The 22,394-nt window shown below is 36.8% G+C and overlaps 1 protein-coding gene and 1 non-coding gene across 8 annotated transcripts in view; one reads left to right on the forward strand and one right to left on the reverse strand.

The window, feature by feature from the left end:
• VAV3 (vav guanine nucleotide exchange factor 3) overlaps nt 1-22,394 on the reverse strand; it is a 394,020-nt gene that overhangs the window by 319,243 nt on the left and 52,383 nt on the right. The window lies entirely within an intron of this gene.
• Nucleotides 6,820-6,901, forward strand: MIR7852 (microRNA 7852). The gene has a single exon (NR_107006.1). It is a non-coding gene; the product is annotated as a microRNA 7852 (primary transcript).

The raw sequence follows: 22,394 nt of genomic DNA on the forward strand, positions 1-22,394 counted from the left end.
TTTCCCACCTTGTCTTAGCCTTCCCATAAACACTGCCATCTCTAAATCAAAAGGAGTTTGTATTCTGTTCAGAAACTTGCTAATCCAAACAATCTCTATTACCCCTCACCACATTCTCACCATACACACTATTTCTGTCTGGGGCTCAATAGTGAATTAACAGTGTTTCACTTCCAGTGGGAAGAGAAAAATCTAACAAGGAAACATAAATGGATAGACTAACTCGAATTCTGTTAATTCCCACAACCAGACACCTTTAGTCTGCCTTCTTTGAGTCATATGTTCACAGTGAAATTAATTTCAATGAATTAAATGTTTTATCCTTCTTTACCCCCAACTCTAGTAAATACCTTAATTTCTGTGCTCTGCAAATCTGCACCAAACTTAGCCATTTTTCTACCAAAAATGGAAGACACTTTCAGATCATACAACTTCCTGAATAGACTGTGCTAGATCATTCTAGAACTCTCTTCTCCCTAATTAGGTATTTATAAGCTGTTTCTTCAGTAGTTATTCATTGCCACTTTACTCCTATAAGGCAGATGTGGTGTAGGGTTTTATTATTTTGGTTTTTTTAATCTAACACTGTTTGAAATATTATGTGAATTTTAAATAGCCACTTGTATATATAGCTCCTTCTGCCTAAAACAGAATTTCTGTACAAAGACCACTGGCCTGGTTTCCACAGATGGTCCTGGTTCAAGCCCTGATGTCCTACCACAATTATTGCTAGTGTCCCTTTCTTTAAAAAAAAAAAAAATCTGATTTGGACAATAAATTGCATAGTCATTCATCTTTTTCCTCTACCTGGAGTATTCCTCATTCTTCACGCCATTACATTTCTGTGTCAAGCCTTGCATGGCAACTCCAGGTAGTGATAGTCATTCTCTCCTCTCAGATGTTATATCATTTTAATCAAATATCTTTCAGAAAATCTACCAAATTCTATACTAACAGAATTCAGGTTTTTGGTCATTATTATATGCCCTGATCATGGCCTACTACAAGGCAAATGAAATACACACACACGCACGATATACAGGGGAAGAAAACTAGGAACAAAAGACCTGGATGCAAATCCTGGCTCTGCCATCAAGAACTGTGTGACTAGAAGGAGGTAACTTAGTGTAGTCATTAAGAAAGGGCTCAGTTGGGGTGGGCACGGTAGCTCATGCCTGTAAACCCAGCACTTTGGGAGGCCGAAGCGGGTGGATCACCTGAGGTCAGGAGTTCAAGACCAGCCTGGCCAACATGGTGAAACCCCGTCTCTACTAAAAATACAAAAATTAGCCAGATGTGGTGGTGTATGCCTGTAATCCCAGCTACTTGGGAGGTTGAGGCAGGAGAATCGCTTGAACCCGGGAGGCAGAGGTTGCAGTGTGCGGAGACCGCGCCATTGCAGTCCAGCCTGGGGGACACAGCAAGACTCCGTCTCAAAAAAAAAAAAAAAAAAAAAAAAAAGAGCTCAGGGGTCAGACCAGGCTGCTTTCAAGTCACCCATCCACTAGCTAGGTAAACTTGAAAGGTAACCTATCCCTTTAAACTCCAGACTATAAAATGTAGATGATTCTATCTTCCTTACAGGATAGTATTTAGTCTAGTGAAATTTGCATGTCAAGCATAATTTTAGGAAGCAATAAGCTTTCACTAAATATTACTTACTGCTAATAATAATGAAATTATAAATCATGAAATACAAATATATCCCTAATTTTATGTGATTAATATGTCATAATGGCATGTCATTGTTAGCAGAATTGTCATTATTTGGCAATCATTTAACCCATGAGAGTCTTGGTTTGTCCTTTTATAATATGGGGAAAATTACGTTTTCCTTAAAGGACTTGTATCAGGTGAAATAACCCATGAGAAATCTAAGTTTCATTAATTGATTTCATTCATTAAGCACTGACTGAGTGCCCATTACGTACTAGGTACCACTTTAAGCACACGCTGAGTACAAGATTAGATGCTAAAGATACAAAGAGAAGACAGGCCTTTTCCCAAGGAGTTCACAGTCCAAGGAGCAGCTTTTAACCTGAAGGAGTTGTACAAATGCACGTATCACTGCCATCTCTTCACTCCCCTGTAAATTTCCTTTTCTGATTTTTCTAATTCTCCTTCCCCTTTTTTCTATTTTTTTATTTTTAGTTTCTTTAACCAACATTTCATCTTTGCTACCTGAATTTAGGCAAAAACCAAAAAATTAGTTACAAAAAAAAATGATGTGGACTCCTCTCTATCTATATATAAAGACTACAATAAATTTGCTACATCAATATATATTCACTAAAAATTATAGACATTCTAAAATTATTTTGTCAGTGAATATTTTCCCCTGAATTTCTGAAAATCAAGTATTAGGTTTGCTCATGTCATACTCTCCATGCCCTCAAGTCTGAAGAAGACAAAGATAACCTTTTTCTTGGCCTAGATTTCCCCCATCCCTATAACCATTTTAAATGTCAGCAATAATATTTCAACAATAACTGCCCACTCCTTTCTCATGTGCCCATTTGTATGAGGTTTAACATTAGGCTGAGCACTACCTGGCCTCCAGCTCATGACTAATACAAAAGATCTTCTAGATGATTCTGGAAACAGCTAAAAGAGGTCAACTAAAATCAGAGAATGAAAGAATTAAAAATATACACAGAGTAAAAAACTTGGTCAAGTTGCTAAAGCTCCAGTGTCAACTTACAAAAATAATAATCCTCAGTGAGATGTTCCTACAGCCAGTTATTCTGTCACGAACATTTTCATTTTTAGTAGTATAACTTTATTTAGTGACTTATTTTTCAGCAAGATTATATAATAACATTTAAAATTATTTCTATAAATACTTTACTAGACTCAATTTTAAACATTTGCTCCTTTTTAAAGTTTGATTTTTACACATCTAGGAAAATACTTTTCCCAAAAGTACCCATCTCCAACTTTATAATAAAAATCACAGGGTAAAAGTGTTTACTTAAAAGTAATCTACTTTTACAAGCCTGTGTGTTTGTATTAGCCCATTTTCATGCTGCTGATAAAGAAATACCTGAGACTGGGTAATTTATACAGGAAGAAGAGTTTAATGGACTTACAGTTCCAAGTGGCTGGGGAGGCCTCATAATCATGGCGGAAGGTGAGGAAGAGCAAGTCATGTCTTACATGGATGGCAGCAGGCAAAAAAAGCTTCCGGAGGGAAACTCTCCTTTATAAAACCATCAGATCTCATGAGACTTATTCACTCACATGAGAACAGCACAGGAAAGACCTGCCCTCATGATTCAATTACCTCCCACCAGGTCACTCCCACAACATGTGGGAATTCAAGATGAGATTTGGGTGGGGACACAGCCAAACTATATCAGTGTTCTTCTGACCAAAGTTATAAGAAACTTATTTTTTAAAGATCAAGCATTAAATATGGCATTGTTCTTCTTCACCATATCTAACTTTTTTCCTGGGTAGGCTATTATGTTCATGAATATCCCCACAAGATCCCAAAATAGGAAAACTCTTTCATGAAATAAATGTCAGGGCTACCTCTGTGCAAGAACAGTGCATCATGATTCACCATCAACACATCGGTTCTGTAAAGAAAGACCCCTGGCATGTGAAGGTAAGTAGCACCAAACCAGTCAAAGCACACACAGAATACTGATTGGGGCTGCAACAATCAATGACTACCAATGTCATCCCTCAAAAGCATCCTTGTAAATAGTTAAATTATTTCCTATAGTTGACTGTAAATGGACACTGTTTACTCGGGCAAGAATTTTCATTAAAGCTCATATTCCAAATAATGGTATATGTTTATTAATTTAAATTTTCACACAGATCACTTTGAGAAAAGATTTCATGTAGTAGATCTCACTGCAGAGAGCAAATTTTAAAGCTAGATAAAAATGCAATTTTCACTACTCAAAGAAGAAAAGGTAGAAGTAAAACAAGGCAGAAATTTAAACTGGCATCAACTCATTAAGTAAAATGTCTTCCTATTAGGACAGGTGTCTTCCTGACTACGGCAAGTTTCAGTATAAGTTCTCAGACATCACAATTAAAACAAGCTGAACTCTCATAATAAGGAAAGTGATATAAATCTCATTAGACAAGAAATTTCATTATGATGAAATTAAGTGTTTAGAAAAACAAAATGATTCCTAAATCTTGGCAGGCAGCTCCCAAAAAGAAAAAGATAAAGAGACAATATGGTTACATTACTCTCTCTATAATTAAAGACAATAAATGCTTTCCTAATAATTCTTAACTTTTAAAAACGGCAGATATAAATATTATAGGGTGTTACCTGCAAACTGTAGAACAGTGACTGAAAGACAAATTTCAAACTGTTTGCTCACTATATGATGCAATTATCAAATGTACTTCCCCAAACATTTCCCCCATAGAAGTACCCCTAATGACAGAGGAGAATAAATGCACATTCCTGGTGTTCTGGTTGCCTGAAGTGGCCCAGTCTACCACACAGCTAGAATTTCTTTATCATATGTAAATTCTGCTTTCTATTCTATCAGGCAGTCATGTTTGCTTTAACACAAAAGGTGCTATAAATTGTTTACAACAGATCTCAGCCCCTCTCACCTCCACTGCCAAAGCCTCCCATGAAGTCTGTTGCCCACCCAAATGCTTAATGAGAGAAGCTGGGGGAATGAGGAGAAATCAAGAGGAAGGGACTGAGTTTCTTGTCCAAGTCAGTTTGGGACGAAGAGGAAAAAAAAAAGAGCTATGGGAAGCAGGAGCAGGAACACAGGGCTGCAATGATCATGAGAACTTAAGCCCCAAGGCTTCAGAAACTTGTTGGAGAAGGAATCGGACTCTCACCCATGGGACGTGAGTGGGGAACAAAAATCAATATTATTTCCTCAAAGGTGTAGAAAACCATGGCTAACATTTGTATTCCACTTACATTGTACTTATAATGGTACTTTTTCACATTGCTTGTCATCTGCTGTTATAAAAATAATGCAGGAATCTGAAAAATAATAATTAGTAGAACTAACACTTACAAAGGTCTTACTCTGTCAGACACTATCCTAAGCAATCTTATCCAGTTCTCACAGCTACCCCCATTTTACAGATGAGGAAACAGAGGTAGAGAGATGTTAAATAGTTGCCCAATGTCATACAGCCAATAGTTAGAGGAGGTAGGATTCAAACTGAGGCAGCCTGGCTTCACAGTTACTAAACTATGAAGTTACTAAACACCTCACTATGCCTTTAGACTACCCAGTGACACAGGAAAGAAAAACTGGTATTATTGGCCACGTCACTGATTTCTGTACACTTGTAAAAGACTTACAATAAATAATAGAGTAGCATTTTTATTAAATAGTAATCCCACCCCAATCATGTGTCCTTGCTCAAAAATGAATTAGTTATAAATTTTGCATATTTTTACACAACTGTGAAATTTTATACTTAATAAACATTAATCACATAGCAATATGAAAATTCTTTATTGTTACTATGCATACTGAACTCACAGGAAATTACCCCTGAAACAATTCAGCAGTAACACCAGGAAACTGCTGCTACACAGAAAGTGCTCAATGAAGTGGCACCAGAAATGTGGCCCAGCGGGGATCCATTTTCAGCTTGGACTTCTTGCAGGAAGTAACTCTCCGTGCCAGAGGTGCTGCCACACACTTTCTCCCATGGCCACAAGCACCTGCAGGATTCTAATTCCATCAGAACAACACAGATACATAATGTTCAATTTAGGCAGCCAGAGCACTGCAGAACCATGGAGCCATTTCTGTAACTTACTGGTTGGCAACCTGCATTTGGCAGAACATACTGGACATATATCAAATGTTAAAAAGAAATCAATTGATAAAGCTCTCCACTTAGAGACACAGACTTACTTTGAGCAAGTCCTTAAGAAAAGCAAGTGGAGTGCCTCTCCCCATCCCCACCCCACCCAAGAGCTATCAATCTTCCAATCAGGATCATCACTGTCCTCTTTCATCAAATTAATCGCACAGCAGCCATTATTACCAACTTGATATCTAAAATGCCACGTACATTCTCTGTATTTATTGTACTGTTATTATTGTTCTGTGTTAGTGACTTTAACTACAAAAAACTTATATAAAGACTTTAAGGTATTTACTCACAAATTTGCTCTCCTGCATCTATGTTTACTAGAAAGTCCTTTAGTTCCTCAAACACAAAACCTCCTGCCACAATAAATCTAATCGCAACCCAAGCCTCATGTACTAAGATCAAGATCAGCAGAGGTTGGAGGTGTGTGATTCTATATGGTTGTTGTAATTTTATATTTAAAAAGACTGGCAATTTTGTTATTAATCAGGGATATAATCTGTATTAAAAAAATGGCTACAGGAATGTCATGTTCCGTTCCATTTATACCACTTTTCAGACTTAAACTGTTTTTGTTATGTATTAGAGGGGAAATATGAAACATTTGCCAGTTAGTTTACAATGGATCACATGTGGGACTAAAGAGTTTGACTCCAATCATTGATCAGATCTTCAAAAAAAGCCCCTCTCCAGAAATAGACAGGAAAATAAATCTATTCTGTACAAGACACTGCACAGCACTCAACAGATAGAAGGGTGAGAAAAACAGACTTTCACCCAAAGAAATCCACAGTCCACAATAAGGTTTAAACAGTACCCAGATGGCAACACAAGGAGCCGGAGCAGCACTGACACCTGCCATAAGTGCTAAAGACCCAAAGTAACTGCCACTGTCCTGAGAATTCCCAAGGGAGGAGGTTTGGCTTGGCCTTGCATCTCTGTTGCCTAGAGACACAGCAGTAAATATATATTGAACAACTAAATTAATAAATGCCTTTGACTACTACATACATATGCCTACTACTACTTTCATATGTAGGCATATGTATGTAGTAGTCAAAGGCATTTACATACTTCATACAAAAAGACCACTGTGTCTTAAAAGATCAGCTTTTCTCTACAGAGAAAACCATGAGAATTGAAAAAGTAGAGGGAGAAAGAGAGAAAAGACAAGAAGAGGTGAGTATCAGGAGCAACAGGGGAGGGAACAGGAGCAACCAGGACCCAGAAAGGGCATATGGAAAGCTGAGAATGCCACGAGGGAAGGAAAAGGAGGAAGTGAGGCAGGAAAGGAGCTACCCACACAGCACCAGGGTCGCAGTTTAGTCAAGAAGGCTTTAGCCTCCTCTGGGACTTCTAGTTACACTATTTGGCGTCCTGCACCACCTCAGGTGCATTCACCCTGCCCATGACACCACGGTAACTCAGTAAGTGCATAAACCATAGACTGCAGTTCCTCAGAACCGCTTATCTGAGACAGCATGCTGGTACTTCCTGAATGGCAGCCTGGCATTCTGAGATTATACTCTTCCTTCATGTATGGTGCTAGAATCGGTCCTCTCCTTTATGAAATGAAAGGGATAGTACACATTAAGACATATTTTATGAAATTTTATTGCTGTACCTTACTTTCTAAAATCCCCTCTTGCTCTTTTCCCTACACTGTTCAATAAAACCCAAAGTCTCATAACCACTAGAGTGTGCCACATCTTAAAAGATTTTTTATGAAAAGCTAAAAAGTTTAAAATATGAGTATGAAAACCCTTACCTAACTTGAAAACTATTAGGTAAAATGTTTTGTTCTCCAGAGATTTTAGATAAAAATAGGTTTTATTACTCCTTTGGGCAAAGAATGTCATTATTAAATTAAAAAAAAAAGGAAGCAGATCAAAACTCAGCACCTGTTCTATGACCTCATTTTGGAAAATATGGGGGAACGAGTATCATCACGTGAATACATATATATAATGCATGTATACATGTAGGGAATTACACACAACAAATTTAACAATGGTTATTTCTGGGTAGTGAGAGTTCCTCTTATTTCTGCTCTCTTCATAAGTAGAAATTACTTTTATAAATAGAAGAATTCTACAAATATGAAAAATAAATGTTTTTACTTTGAAAAATAAATGTGAGAAAAAATAACATGAAAAAATATTTGTTATCAACTCCATGAAGAAACAGCAAGTTTCCACCACAGCCAGTGGCCTTCTGAGTGAAGCATGGTTTTCTGCCCTACATACCAAGCCTTTAGACAAGGATCTCTTTATAAGTGCTCTGTTACTTAATACATCCATTTACATTATTACCATAAAGATGACTTTTCCAAAATAAAGCTTTCAATCTCTAGGGTCCCTGCAGGGTAATAGGAAGCATTCAGCAGATTACTGTTACTGTAATATGTTTTATTACACTTAATGACACAGATACTTCACAGTACTGGGATTTTTGTAGGTATTTAAAAATGTATCTCCTATAAAAATATATCTACTGAAAACACATATCCCATAAAATATGTAAGTAAAATATTCATGCAACAGATTATATACTATACATGAACATAAAAAACAAAACATCTTTTAAACTATTCTAAGCAATGTAGTTCCATTTAAAAACAAAGTATTTTAAGTAATGGGAAGGTTCTTCATTCTAAAAAAATAATAATGTCTCAGTCTAAGAAAGGGATACACTCAGTCCATTTGTCAACAAATACCCTCTGAGTACTAAGGATGTAGAGATGAACTAGATGCAATGCCTTCTCTCCAAAAGCTTACTATACATTAGAAAAACAAACAAATGAGTTCAATAAATGGTTCAAGTATATGATGAAGATGATGAAAGTATGTATGTGGTTCTGAGAGGGCACAAAGAATAAAAATGGTTGTCCTACCTACAAGGGTGGGGGCAGAAAAGTTTCCTAGATGACTTTTTTCACAATGCAGTTATTATTTCCTAAAAATAAATTATGAAAGTATCTATTTCTTTTACTAAGCATCTAGAAATATAGAAGAGAGTGTCAAGGGCACAGTCATAGAGATATATTAATAAAAAAATGTCTGGGCTGAGCCAACAGCGGTAAGCGGCCATCCAATCATCTCATTCACTGCATGTCATTTTTGAGCACTTATTAGGTTCTGCGCAAGGTGCTGAATAAGATGTGGTCCCTCATGTTCAACGACCTTACAGCCCACTAGCAAAGAGAAGCAGGAATAAATAATACAATTTGATACGTGCTATAATGGGATGCATTGTGAAGGGCTACAAAGGCACAGATGATGGCACAGTTAACTACACATTGAGGGAAGGTTTAAGAAACAAGGAGCCAGCCACATGTGAGCTCCGTAGGACAGGAAAGAGAATGAATTCATTGGAATTTTCTAAGGCAGAATGATGTATCAAGGCTGAGTGAAGTCCTTTGCAGTGTTACTTCATCTAATCTTCAGGATTATTTTATGAAATAGGTATTGTTCCCATTCCCGCCTGGGTATTGTTCTAGGTGAGGTACGTGTGGTTAGAGAATGAAGTAACATGCCTAAAGCCAAACTAATAATAACTGGTGAATTAGGTTTTGAAAGCAGATCAGAAGTCTTACTTGGCTGCCTCTGCTTTTCCCAGAACAGATAAGCAATAAACATAAGGCTTACTTTGATCTGTATCTTAGCTGGGTGGCTCTTTAGTTTCCTGAAACCTGACCCCTTCAAGAATCTCCTTAGGTCTTTCAACTATTCTTTCTCCATAAAATTCCTTTTTTTATATTCATACACTTTCAGCATACTTAATATATATCAGCAGGCATTTGTAGCTCACTAAAATTATCTCTTCTTCTTCACTTTTCAAGGAACTCAATCCTGCACTAAACACATTACAAAGTAAAGCTCAAGGCTCAAGGTGTGATATTTTCCATAATTTGAAACAGTTACACATGGATAGAAATACATTTGCTACATAGACTACAAGCTTCGACACTTAGGAAACCTACTGAAAATTAACAGGATATGAGAAGTGAAAACGTGGTACAGTGTAGCCGCAAAGTATATCCATAGTATACTTTGTAGCCACACGTCAGGAGGAAGTTACCTTTATGCACCCCTTACCACTGCATGCAAATTTGATATTTTCTCTACATGCTTTTGGAAAATGTGCTAATAACTAAATCATCAACACAGTACTTGCAAATTGTTTTTAGGCCTTCAACTCTTAACAGGGAGAACATGAGAAGTTTCTCTTCCACGTGCAAAGTGAAATGTTACACCTTATAAAGTCTAGACTTTGAGAAGGCCATACCATATCAGACCCATATTCAATCCACTAAATCTGCTGTCAAGATCATTGTAAACCATGAGAGCATGTTGATAAGTGCAGTCCATTTACAGAGGGATCACTGCCTGTAAACCACAACTGAAGCATGCTAAAATAAGCAGTGTGATTGATACTGTATTTTTGTAAATGGTCCTATAAATGATCTTCTGAAATAGCTATCCTCACCAGGACATGGAGAAGATATGCTCAGTTAACCGAGGTTATTGCATCACAATAGGGACTTTGTGGTCTCTGAACTTAACAGACATATCTTATACAAAACTATTTGTGGTAGTGGTGGTAGTGGTGCATAATTTTCAATTATACAAGAAAATAGTGTCCACAAGTTATTTTTTTACTCACTCAGTCTTCAGTTGTTAATGAATGCATTTCCTTACCTTGTATATTTTACGTAAATAAGATTTTTATAAAGAGACTCAGTAATAACTGTGTCACCCACTTCCACATAAAATCAAACAATTGGCAATAAGATATGCCAGACTGTACTTACTAAAGATTACTGGACTGTAAATATAAATCGGACCACCATGGAAAGATATGGCTATAAATGCTGACAGTATAGCAAGGGAAAAATAATTTACACCAGCTGGGGAGCTGCTATGTCCCAGGTATTGTAGCTGACAATTTACCTATGTGATTAAAAAGCACTAGGAAGCAAATAATTTCTGGCCTGTGTCCCATAACCTACTAGTTTAAGATTATTGGTTGGTGGTTCCTAAATTATACACCAAGGTATCCTGGAACACCACAGCAAACTCAGAGACACTGCAGGATATTTTAAATTTTCACCAAAAAAATCACAAGAATATTCAGCATCTGATACTGCATGAATTACTAGCTCAAATTACTGTGTAGTTTTAACATTAGATCCCACTAAGTTCCTTTTAATGGTGTATCTTTGTGAAGCTGGATATTCAGCAGATGCAGTGGTTAACAACTAAACATGGTACAACAATCAATGTAAAACAAAAAATGAGGGTGTGGTGGTGTGTAATCTTATTCCAAGATTTGAGAAGTTATGTAGTGCCCAACAGGCACACACATCCCATTAGTAATAATTGTGGGTATTTAAGAATAAAATAAAAATAAAAATATTTTTCCTTTCAATGTACTTGTATTATTTTCTTTCAACCAACTACTATGTTGTTGGGACATAAATATTTATTAAATTGCTTAGAGATAACTACTTAAAAACAAAACTGGGCTGGAGAGGGTGGTTCACGCCTGTAATCCCAGCACTTTGGGAGGCCAAGGCGGGTGGATCACCTGAGGTCAGCAGTTCGAGATCAGCCTGGCCAACATGGTGAAACCCCGTCTCTACTAAAAATACAAAAATTAGCCACGCATGGTGGCATGCACCTGTAATCCCAGCTACTCGGGAGGCTGAGGGAGGAGAATCGCTTGAACCCAGGAGGCGGAGGTTGCAGTTAGCCAAGATTGTGCCACTGCACTCTGGCCTTGACTACAAGAACAAAACTCCATCTCAAAAAAAAAAACAAAAAAAACAACAACAAAAACTGTTATTGTTTTGGCCTGCAAAATAAAAAAATAAAAAAAAATTCAGAGAAATATTAAGCATGCCTTAAACTAAGAAAGCTTAAGAACTTCTGCTAAAGATGAATTCTAACTTTCCAAGCTAAAGGACAGGAGGCTAGACCAAGGGTCTCTACAGACTTTGCCTAGTTTTCTGTGCTAAGTTTCTAAAGTGATTAAAAGGCCATCTGTGATTGAATGTACAATATCTTTTTACATTATCAGTGTAACAGATGGAGATGTAATTGTTTCAATTTTTTTTAATCTTACATTGACTTTATTCATCTTCCATTCTGTGTCATTTGTCTACATATGATGATTGCTTTGTAAGCAATTATATAATGTTTCACATTCTGGAAGAATAACGCATCTATTTTTGGTACCATCCCCTGTTTTCTGCCCTTTCACTATTGCCATGCACCTAAGTACCGCTAGATAGTCTTATGTAGGAGTTTTTTAGGTAATTTTCTCCATAATATGCATTTATTCTTTACATTGATTTATGATTTTGTTTTGTTCTTTTACGTATTTTAGAATAACCTGAGGTCCTACATGTTTAAACCTTTAAGAAAATATTTATGAAGTTATACAAAGTATGACACCTGCCATGAGGATATAAATCATATCTATGTATCAACAAGAGAGGGGAAGGAGAGCGAAGGCCAGTAGGATACAAATAAAATTAAAGAATTAAAAAAAAAGCTTACAGACTTATTTGTGCAGTCTCTTGATATAAGGCAACTCATTTATCTATATCCATACCCGTATTTGCCATAACACATAGAGAACCTAATAATTTCCCAGCCATGGATACTGATGTTATTATACCAAAGGATGAATCCCAATGGCTAACATTGCTGGATTATTAAACCAGGTTTTCGTTAAACCATAAAGGCAGAATTGAAATGAGATAATCTGCTAGTGTGAAAGAAATAATTTTAAGGACTAGGAAGGGCTTGAAATGTATCTCCAGCCTTCTCAACAAAGTCAGGTGACACAAAAAGAAAAGAAAAAAATCGAAGTTAAGACATGGGAATGTGCTATAGAGAAAAAATGAGGTAGCAGGATATTTAATTTTTTAAAAAAATCTGAGCAGTTGGTTCATAAGAAAAAAGCACCTTAAAACTTTCAGAAGAAAACCAGCACCTCCAAAAAGGATTCAGAGAGCAGGAAGCTTCTGCAGCTGTAACAAACATTTGATCCAAGTAGACCAAATAATCTTTGAAGTAATGAATGTAAAACACAGCTATAAAAAATATCATATTTGCCAGAAATGCGCTACTCAATCCCAGACTTCCTAGGCATCCCCAAATGTGACCTCTGAGGGTACAAGCAGAAAGTAGAATGGAATATGAGGGCTGTGGCAGCAGAGAGACCTGCATTTGACCTCCAACTCTATCATTCATAAGCTGCAAGATGCCAGATAAATGATAAAATCTCTCTAACTTCAGGTAGAAATGATAAGAATACCATTCTCAAAGTGTGGCAAAGACAGTAATAAGGGCATTCACCTAAGATACTCACTACAGAAGCTGAGTATGCATCTTTATCCCCACTGCAGGATTTTCACTAAAAACTAACAAAACTGAGTCCTCCCCTTTATATTTGTTGAAAAACTCCATCTACCAGAAATTCCTATCTTAACATTCCCCAGCCATCTTAAATTAAGCATGGCTAAAACTAAATTTATATTTTCTGAGAACTGACACCTCCATTTGTGTAAATAAATTAATCTGCCTCACCTCCCACACTTATGGCCTTGAAGTCATTCTTGACCCCTTGTTCTCTTGGTCACACCCAATCCATCAGCAGCTCCTCTCAACCCTCTGCCGCCTGCCTCATACTACTCCTTTGCCTACCACTCCCATGCCCTCATCGATCTGCAGCTGGATACTCTAACACTTGGTCTCTCTGTCCTTGGCTTCTTCCTGGCTAACCTATCCTACCCATTACCTGTTCTATAACTTTCCACCTTACGTGCTCCATCATTTCCTCTTCCTCCTCCATCAAACATCAGTTCCCAAAAGAGCTTGTGGAATTGCCTCCACTCAGGGCCACTACGTAGACACTGGCCAAATGACCCTTTGGTATCAATCAGAAAAGGCACCCTTCCTTCCTTCCTCAATTGAGTTAAAATGCTGATTTTGTTAAAGAATGCCATGTTACTGCTAGATGCCAAGCTGTCACTCTAGATAAATGTATACGTATGATGTGACTGAATGATGTCCAGCAGGCGGGTACCAAACATGAACAGTCTTACATAAGAATGATGTCTTCATTTCCTTGGTTCTTTTCTAGTATGCATCTCACCATCTACATTATCCAACTGAAACAAAAATCACCAACGACCTCTCAACTGCCAAATCTGATGACTGAATTTTTTTATTTCTTTTCTTATTTGACTGCTCCATGTTTCTGCACTGTGGTCACTGTCTTTTTCCACAGTCTTCAGATAATATTTTCTCCTGCATTTATTTCTGCCCCCAACCACTGTGTAACAGTTTTGCCTCCTGCCCTTTCTGTTCTATAAATGTTACTCAACTTCATTCATGCACACCTTTATTCATTCAGCAAATATCTGAGTACCTACTACATAGCAAGGTGATATTCTAGGCACTTGGGATATAGATCAGTAAACTAAAAATGCATAGAAGAAAAATTTCTCTACCATCATGAGACTTTCTCTTTTGGGGTAAGAGGGTGGAGAGAGAGGCACACAATAATGAACTTATTAATTACATGTAATTATCATTATATTCAATATTGATAAATGCTATAGCATGGTTATATGCAGGTGAGGGAAATAGTTATTTTAAATAGGGTACACTAGTTAAGTTTCATCATGAAGGTGACATTTAAGCAAATGCTTGAAGTAAATAGGAAATATCTGAGGGATAAGCATTCCAGATAGAAGAACAACCCAGTGCAAAGCCTTAAGGAAGAAATCTTCCTCGGATAATCAAGGAATATCAAGGAGCCAAGGTGGCTTGAGAAGTCAGATTATCTATCCGAAACTGTTATAAAATGTATACAAGTCTATGGCATCTGGCAAGAATGAGAACATTTCCATATTTTATACAGGACCTTTGTGTATTGCACAACCTGATAAGTCAGCCTTACCTAGAATTCCTGCTCCTCCATACTTGCCTTAGGTTGCCCTTCACTTCATACAACACTTTCTCAAGGAAGATTTCCCATCCCAAATCATGGCCATCATCAAATTCTCTAAACTCCTGTTTGCACATGGTTAAAGACTGGTATATGCGACCATATATTTACATGTATTTGTTCTTTCTAGCTATGTGTCTTCCTTGTATATCTGACCAAATTGGAAATCTCTCTAGAGCCATAATGCTTCCCCAGTGCCTGTCAACATGCCCTATACATAGTAGACCCATGGTAACTGTTCATGGAAGCCAATGCTAAAGACCTCTGACATCTTAAAAAAAAAATCTAGAATACTTTTTATGAATGAAACTTTACATTGCTGCCCAGATTGCAAACCTCTGAGCCAATATTCCACAAAGACATGGGAAATACTTTAAAAGGCATTATTTATATAGCACATTGATTTTTTCAGTTGATTCAATTTTATTGATTTTAGGAAATAATTTAATCATCTGTATTTCATTTCAGATAATTAAGTTTTGCTGCTGGCTTCAATATTGCTTTCTAAGACATAGAATATTTTATCTTCCTAATAAAACTAAGCCATTTCTAAAAGAAAAAAGTATTCTATTCTAGTTAGAAAATGTTAAAGATACATGTAATAATCAAAAAACTAACAAATAAATTCAAAGTCAAGCAGGACTGCCCATGTAAACACTAGATAAAAGCTGGTATTTGTAGAATTGCTTTCAACACAAGTGAAGAGTCTATTAAATAAGGTCAGAAGCAAAGGGCACCACCAGAATGTTGAGATTACCAAGGAACTGTGCCTATATTGTAAAAGAAAAATCTCCTAAATTTAAAGTTGCTCATCATTTTCCAATTACCTAAGGTCTTCCTGCCAGTGATGAAATCCTTATTACTGGCAGATCCACTGATGAGCCCCCAAGGAGGAGATCTTCCAGCATTCCCTGTTTATCACAGCCACTTACAGAAATGCAGAAGGCTTGTAACTGTAGCCAGAAGCCACAACCCTAAGCCAAGGCTTGTTTTGTTTTGTTTTGTTTTGTTTTGTTTTTAAGAGAGAGGGTTTCATTCTGTCACCCAGGCTGAAATGGCCAGCAAGGAACACATGTCAACATAAGCTTCACAACTGGGAAGTCTTGTATAAAATAACAAATCGGGCTGGGCACGGTGGCTCACGCCTGTAATCCCAGCACTTTGGGAGGCCGAGGTGGGCGGATCATGAGGTCAGGAGATCGAGACCATCCTGGCTAACACCGTGAAACCCCGTCTCTACTAAAAACACACAAAAAATTAGCCGGGCGTGGTGGCAGGCACCTGTAGTCCCAGCTACTCGGGAGGCTGAGGCGGGAGAATGGCGTGAACCCAAGAGGCAGAGCTTGCAGTGAGCCAAGATCGCGCCACTGCACTCCAGCCTGGGTGACAAAGCAAGACTCCATTTCAAAAAAATTAAAATACAATACAATACAATACATAAAATAAAATAAAAATAAAATAACAGATCATCTCTAAATACTAAATACCTTAATGACTTTTTATGATCACAATAGAATGGAATGAAAAAGGGAGAAAAGCAGGGTGAGAAGGAAGAAGGAAAGAAGGAAGTGTAAAATGAAAGAGGTAAAGTCTCTAGAGACCCTTGGTCCAACCTACTGTTCCCTGGCTTGGAAAGTTAGAATTAATCTTTAGCAGAAGTTCTTAGGCTTTCTTAGTTTAAAGCACATTTAGTGTTTATATGAAGCATGGGTGGAGGTCCAAGTATCTTATATGATTGAGGATTAAGGACTCTCAATGCAAAAGGGCCTAAGTGTTAAAACCATCCTGAATTTTTATATCTCCACAACAACTTTCTGGCATCCAGTTACCAGAGAAATGGAAGTAAGCAAAAAGAATTTAGGAAGAAGCAAAATACAAGTCAGAAAAGGCCATGGACCACACAATCGGACTCGGAAATTACATTTCTTGGAATTTTCCCTGAAGAATAAATGGTCATATACAAAGTTTTAGTCAAAAAGATGCAGAGCAAATCACTGATATAAGAGCAAGAAGTTGGAAACTATCTAAATTGTCTAGCACTGGGTGCTTATTTAATAAATCCAACAACAGAATTCTAAAGAGCCATTCAAAAAGATGTTGACAATATCGTAAGTGATAAAAGCAGCTTACCAAAAATATTAATATATTCCTTTTTAACACAAAAATTTTAAGATATATGTATAACTGCTATCATTTAAATGTGTCCCCCAAAGTTCACGTATTGAGAACTTAATCCCCAATGCAACAGTACTGAAAAGTAGGAACTTTAGGAGGTGATTAGGTCATGAATGCTTTGCCTTCATGGATGGATTAAAGCTGTTATCAAAGGAGTGGATTCATTACCACGACAGTAGTTGTCATAAAAGCAAATCTGACCCCTCTTGCTCTCGTGTGCGTGCGTTCTCTCTCTCTCTCACACACACACGCGCTCTCTCTCTCTCTCTCATTCTTACTCTCTTGCCCTTCCACCTTCCACCTTCCACCATGGTATGATGCAGCAAGAAGGTCCTCACCAGATGCAGCCCTTTGATCTTGGGCTTCTCAGTCTCTAGACTATAAGAAATAAATTTCTGTTCTTTAACAATTACCCAGTCTATGTATTCTGTTACAGCAGCAGAAAACAAACATAGACAGTAACAGAGTTTAGAAAGATATGCGTTATACTAAATCAAGTGATAAAAGCAAATTACCAAACAGCATATATCTAGCTATGGTCCTGATTAAGTGTTCAGTTGTAAGTAGCATACGTGTGTTGAGGAATGAATTCGGAAGGATGCTGCAGGGTATATTATCTGTTGATGACAGAATTTTCAACATCATCCCTATACTTTCAAGCTCTTTCACAGTGCCTGGAAGCCTGGAAACTACATTTCCCAGATCCCTTGTAGGCAGGATTTTGGCTTAGGTTCTGTGGATGAAAGGCACTCATGTGAAAGTAAGAACACTGGAGAGAAGCAACCATATTCTTCCCCCAGCAGTGGCTGGTAGAAGTGGGGATAGATGTTAGGGTGATGTATACATGGCTTCTGGGTAAAGCTCCTGATAATCACCCACTGTAGGGCTATAGGTGGCTGATATCATAGGTGGTGGCTTCCTATGATTCTCTCATTTCTTGATATCCTCAAAGTAAGATCGGTTATTACCAATCTTCCTTCCCTATATCAATGCTCTTCCTGCTAAAATACCTGTAGCAATTTATCTTTTCCTGTTTTAGCTTAAAAAAGAAATGATCTCTAGTATGTGAGATGATAAGTGACCTTTTTATTCTTATTAACATTTTCTGGCTTTTTAAAATAAATGTGTACTGCATTTGTAACATGAGAGGAGGTTTTGAGATTTTTAGTTCACTCTTCGGGCCTTTGGTGAGAACTAAATTATGCATACTTTTCTTGCACAATTTTAAAAACCTTCATTACTTGTTTTCCATGTTAAAAGGAAAGGACTACTGAAGAAAATGTAACAACAGGGGTAAGATGTGACAGCTGATAGAAAAGGAGTAAGAAAAAGCAGTTGTTTTTTAAAATTTACATCACCATCACCCAACACCCCCGCCCCACTCAAACACACACACACACACACACACACACACACACACACACACACACACACACACACAATATAAAACATATTCTGGAAGCATTCAGTATAGGGAGAAACTTCTCTACCTCAGCAAAATAACAAATACTTGCTACATAAGTACAACAACTGCTATTCATATTAATTATTCCATTAAATTATATACTTTACATCCTGTTAAAGACATGAGGGAAAAGTTTTGATAGATTGATGTTCCTACAAATAACTGAAAGAAAAATATTTATTTGCTATCTAAAAATAACTTTTTCAGAGTAATTCATGTGTTGCCTTTTATTTTAGAAACTTTTCACTGAGTAACATCTTTAAAATTTTTCATTCAGTGGTTATACTATCTTGTTCATTTCTAAGACTCTTAGCAAAAAGAGCTATGGTGCTGATTAAGTGGACATTTCACACATAGAAAACTATTCTCCAAATGGTTAAAAATGAAATATGAGTACCTCACAGCTCTTCCAGCTACTCCAAAAGCAACTGTCATATAAGTAAAAAAATGTTATATGAGTATTTACTTCAATAGACTTTATAATAGCAGTTAACTGCACTAAAGGATTTTAAATCAATAAAAGTTAAATGAAAGATGAGTAGACAATGGAAAAAAAAATGGTCACAATTTTTCCCGAGCTTTATATTTCCATTATCAACAATAAGTTTAAAAACCTGCTGAACCCATTTTAATCCAATTGGTACAGATTAATCACAAATTCCATACCCATCACATACAGCATAGAATTGACAATTTTATTTAAAATGGGAAATTTCCGAAAAACTTATGGTGTAATCTTATTTTTCTTGCTGCATTTAACAAATTACCAAGTCTATATAATTATAAACTCAGTTTTAACCTCTCAGGATTCTTTGAGGTAGTTTGCAATGATTCCTTTAAATATCATAATGTAATGCAGGTATCCAGACTCTGCCATGTATAGATGTTCTTTAATTGTGTTATCTTCTTTATGGGAAGGTGAGAAAATCTTTCTAATCAGTGAAGAATACATTAAATATTTCATAATAATATTTTCTTTCAACTATCAAGCTTGCTCAGCTTCACATTCCAAATCGGTTACAGGTTATTTGAACAATGAAATTAAGAAGTGGCAGACATCAGTCAAATCCAAATTAGTAATGAAAATAGTTATCATTATTGATAATATTGAGCAATTACTATGTGCAGACACTATGCTAGCACACTGCATGAATTCTTCATTTAATCCTCACAACAACTCTACGATGAAAGCATGATTATCCTCATTTTACAGAAGAGGAAATGAACTTGAAGAGGTTATTCTGAATGCCCAAGATTACACAGCTACTAAGAGATATCAGTGGAATTTGTATCCAGGCCTATCTAATTCCAAGGCCTTACCAATACCCAATCTAAGCTTTTCCATACACGGATAAGAACATAAAAGCAAAAATAAACATCTGCCATGGGTCATCAGTTATTAAAACAAATACAGGAACATAAGTGATAAAATCCCCTCTTCCGTGTCCTGAAGAAGACAATCACATACTTTTCACTCCAAGAAGGAAGCTTTCAGACGATTCTTCAGAATTTAGTAAGTCTATCTACATAAAATATTATATGCTATTTGTTTTCACTAAGCTACATGATTAAAAGCCCCAATTAGCATTGCTGCAGTGACAGCTGACAGCAAGGGAAAGGCCAAAAGTACAATAATTGAAGGTCACAGTAATGACCCTGATTCCAGGATAAGGTCAAAATCAATTCAGTATGCTGTATTTCATCACAATGGATTTTAAAACATGTAATACTAATAACATAAGGTTTTCTTCTCAAGTTTGAAAACTTTAAAATCTCAGCTTTTAAAGGGTAGGCTTGAGGCCATGCGTGGTGGCTCATGCCTGTAATCCCAGAACTTTGGGAGGCCAAGGCAGGCAAATCACCCGATGTCAGGAGTTTGAGATCAGCCTGGGCAACATAGCAAAACCCCATCTCTACTAAAAATACTAAAATTAGCCGGGCATAATGGCACATGCCTGCAATCCCAGCTACTCAGGAGGCTGAGATGGGAGAACCGCTTAAACCTAGGAGGCGGAAGTTGCAGTGGGCCGGTATCACACCATTGCACTCTGGGCTGGGTCATCTGAAGAGCAAGACTCAGTCTCATTAAAAGAAAAAAAAAAGAAAAAAAAAGCAAGGTAGGCTTGAGTCATAATCTCTCTCTATTCAACACCACCAGACAAATAAAATGTTACTCAATTGCTTATTATCCTAAAAATAAAGCAGACTCCCTTCGCCTCCCAACTTCTAATAGCACATAAGGTTAGAAATTTTAAACAGTTATTTCCTATTACGAAAAGAGTATTTCCAAGCTTCTAAAAGCTGGAAAATACAAAGAAGCATAAATTAGAAAATAAAAGTTACCTGCAACCTTACTAACATTAACATGTATATATCTGTGTATTGTATTCCTTTGTTTTTTCTTTCTTATGAGCTATGTATAAAACATAAGCTTAATACAAGTAACTTGCAGACAAAGAAATTATGAGTTCAACACAGGAGAAAAATTCAAAATGATAGTAGGTCACCCATGTAGTGATGCCTAATAGAATAAAAATGCTGTGTCTCCCATAAACACAACTGGAGGCAGATAAATTTTGAATGTGTTATATAGCAGGGTATTAACCCACTCTGAAAATGATTTAAATCATTTTTAAATCTACAGAATAATTAAGACAGATAAATAAAACATAAATCAAGTCATTTAAAGGTATGCTCAGTATTTTCATTCTATTTTAAAGAAAAAATGTTCTATGGGAAAATGGGCCACCATAGAGACTGCTGCTAGAGCAAGAAAAGTAGCACTATTATCTGCCAGGGGAGAATTAACTGTTAGCAAACTGGCCAAGTGAGAAAGAAACAGGTTCTCAACTGGGATATAACATCAAGGGGAATGTAAAAATGAGAGTTCGTATCAGCCTGTGTTTAAACACTCTGACCCACAAATTTAGCACAGACAATTGGACAGGTCCTTTAGATTCCTCTGTCCATCAATTACATTATCTAGAGGCAAACACAATAGACTTACTGCAAACAGCGCTGATTTAAACAAAAATGTAGTGAATATAGATAAAGGTGTCAAGTGCCATGATGTAGTAATGACACAGAACAGCCAGGCAGGGACTACATGACTTGGAAGTTTAAAAGAAAGTAAATACCAAGTGTTTTTTGTTTGTTTGTTTGTGTGTGTGTGTGCGTGTTTACGTTAGTTTCCTATGAAGAATGAAAGCTTTGTGAAATTTGTAGCACATACAGAAAACACACCTATGACTATCATTTTCTAAAAAGCAGACATTTGACAAAAATCTCTTTCTGACACAAAAAAATAACAACTTCAAAGGCAGACTAATGTTTTCAAAAGAGAATCTATCAGTTAAAAAATACTAAACAAAACTAATGCTTTGTTGCTTTGTAATTTTGAGGAAGAAACCTCCAATAAGCTCAGGTTTTAAAAATGCATAAGAAAACACCACCAAGGGCAGATAGTGATTAATATTTAATATTTGCATCACTGATTTTTTCCCTAACAACCCTATACCAGCAACTTAAAGGCTTATCCTCTGATTTTTAAAAAGGTCTTAGAAAATAAAATTGTAAGAGTATTAAAGGCATGTGTTGAGAGTGGACAGGACCCCAGGACTCTGGCCTGCTGGGACAAATGGTAGAGAGAAAAGCCTGAGATCCGATTTCCCAACCTATCATTCTGGCTTCTCCACCTACACTACTCTCTCCCTTCTCTGATCTCTCACTTCACAAATATTAAGCACCATGTAAGTTAGATCTAATTTTCTTAAGTTTTTTCTTACCAAAATATTAACTAGCTCCTCCAGGTCAGGGACTAGATACCTGCATCTGCACCTCTTCTGGAACAGCAGGTGCACTACTAGGCAACTGCAAACTTGGTTGACCCTTAGGAACC

This window comes from Homo sapiens, chromosome 1 (assembly GCF_000001405.40).
Source record: "Homo sapiens chromosome 1, GRCh38.p14 Primary Assembly".
In the NCBI taxonomy this organism is placed as follows: Eukaryota; Metazoa; Chordata; class Mammalia; order Primates; family Hominidae; genus Homo; species Homo sapiens.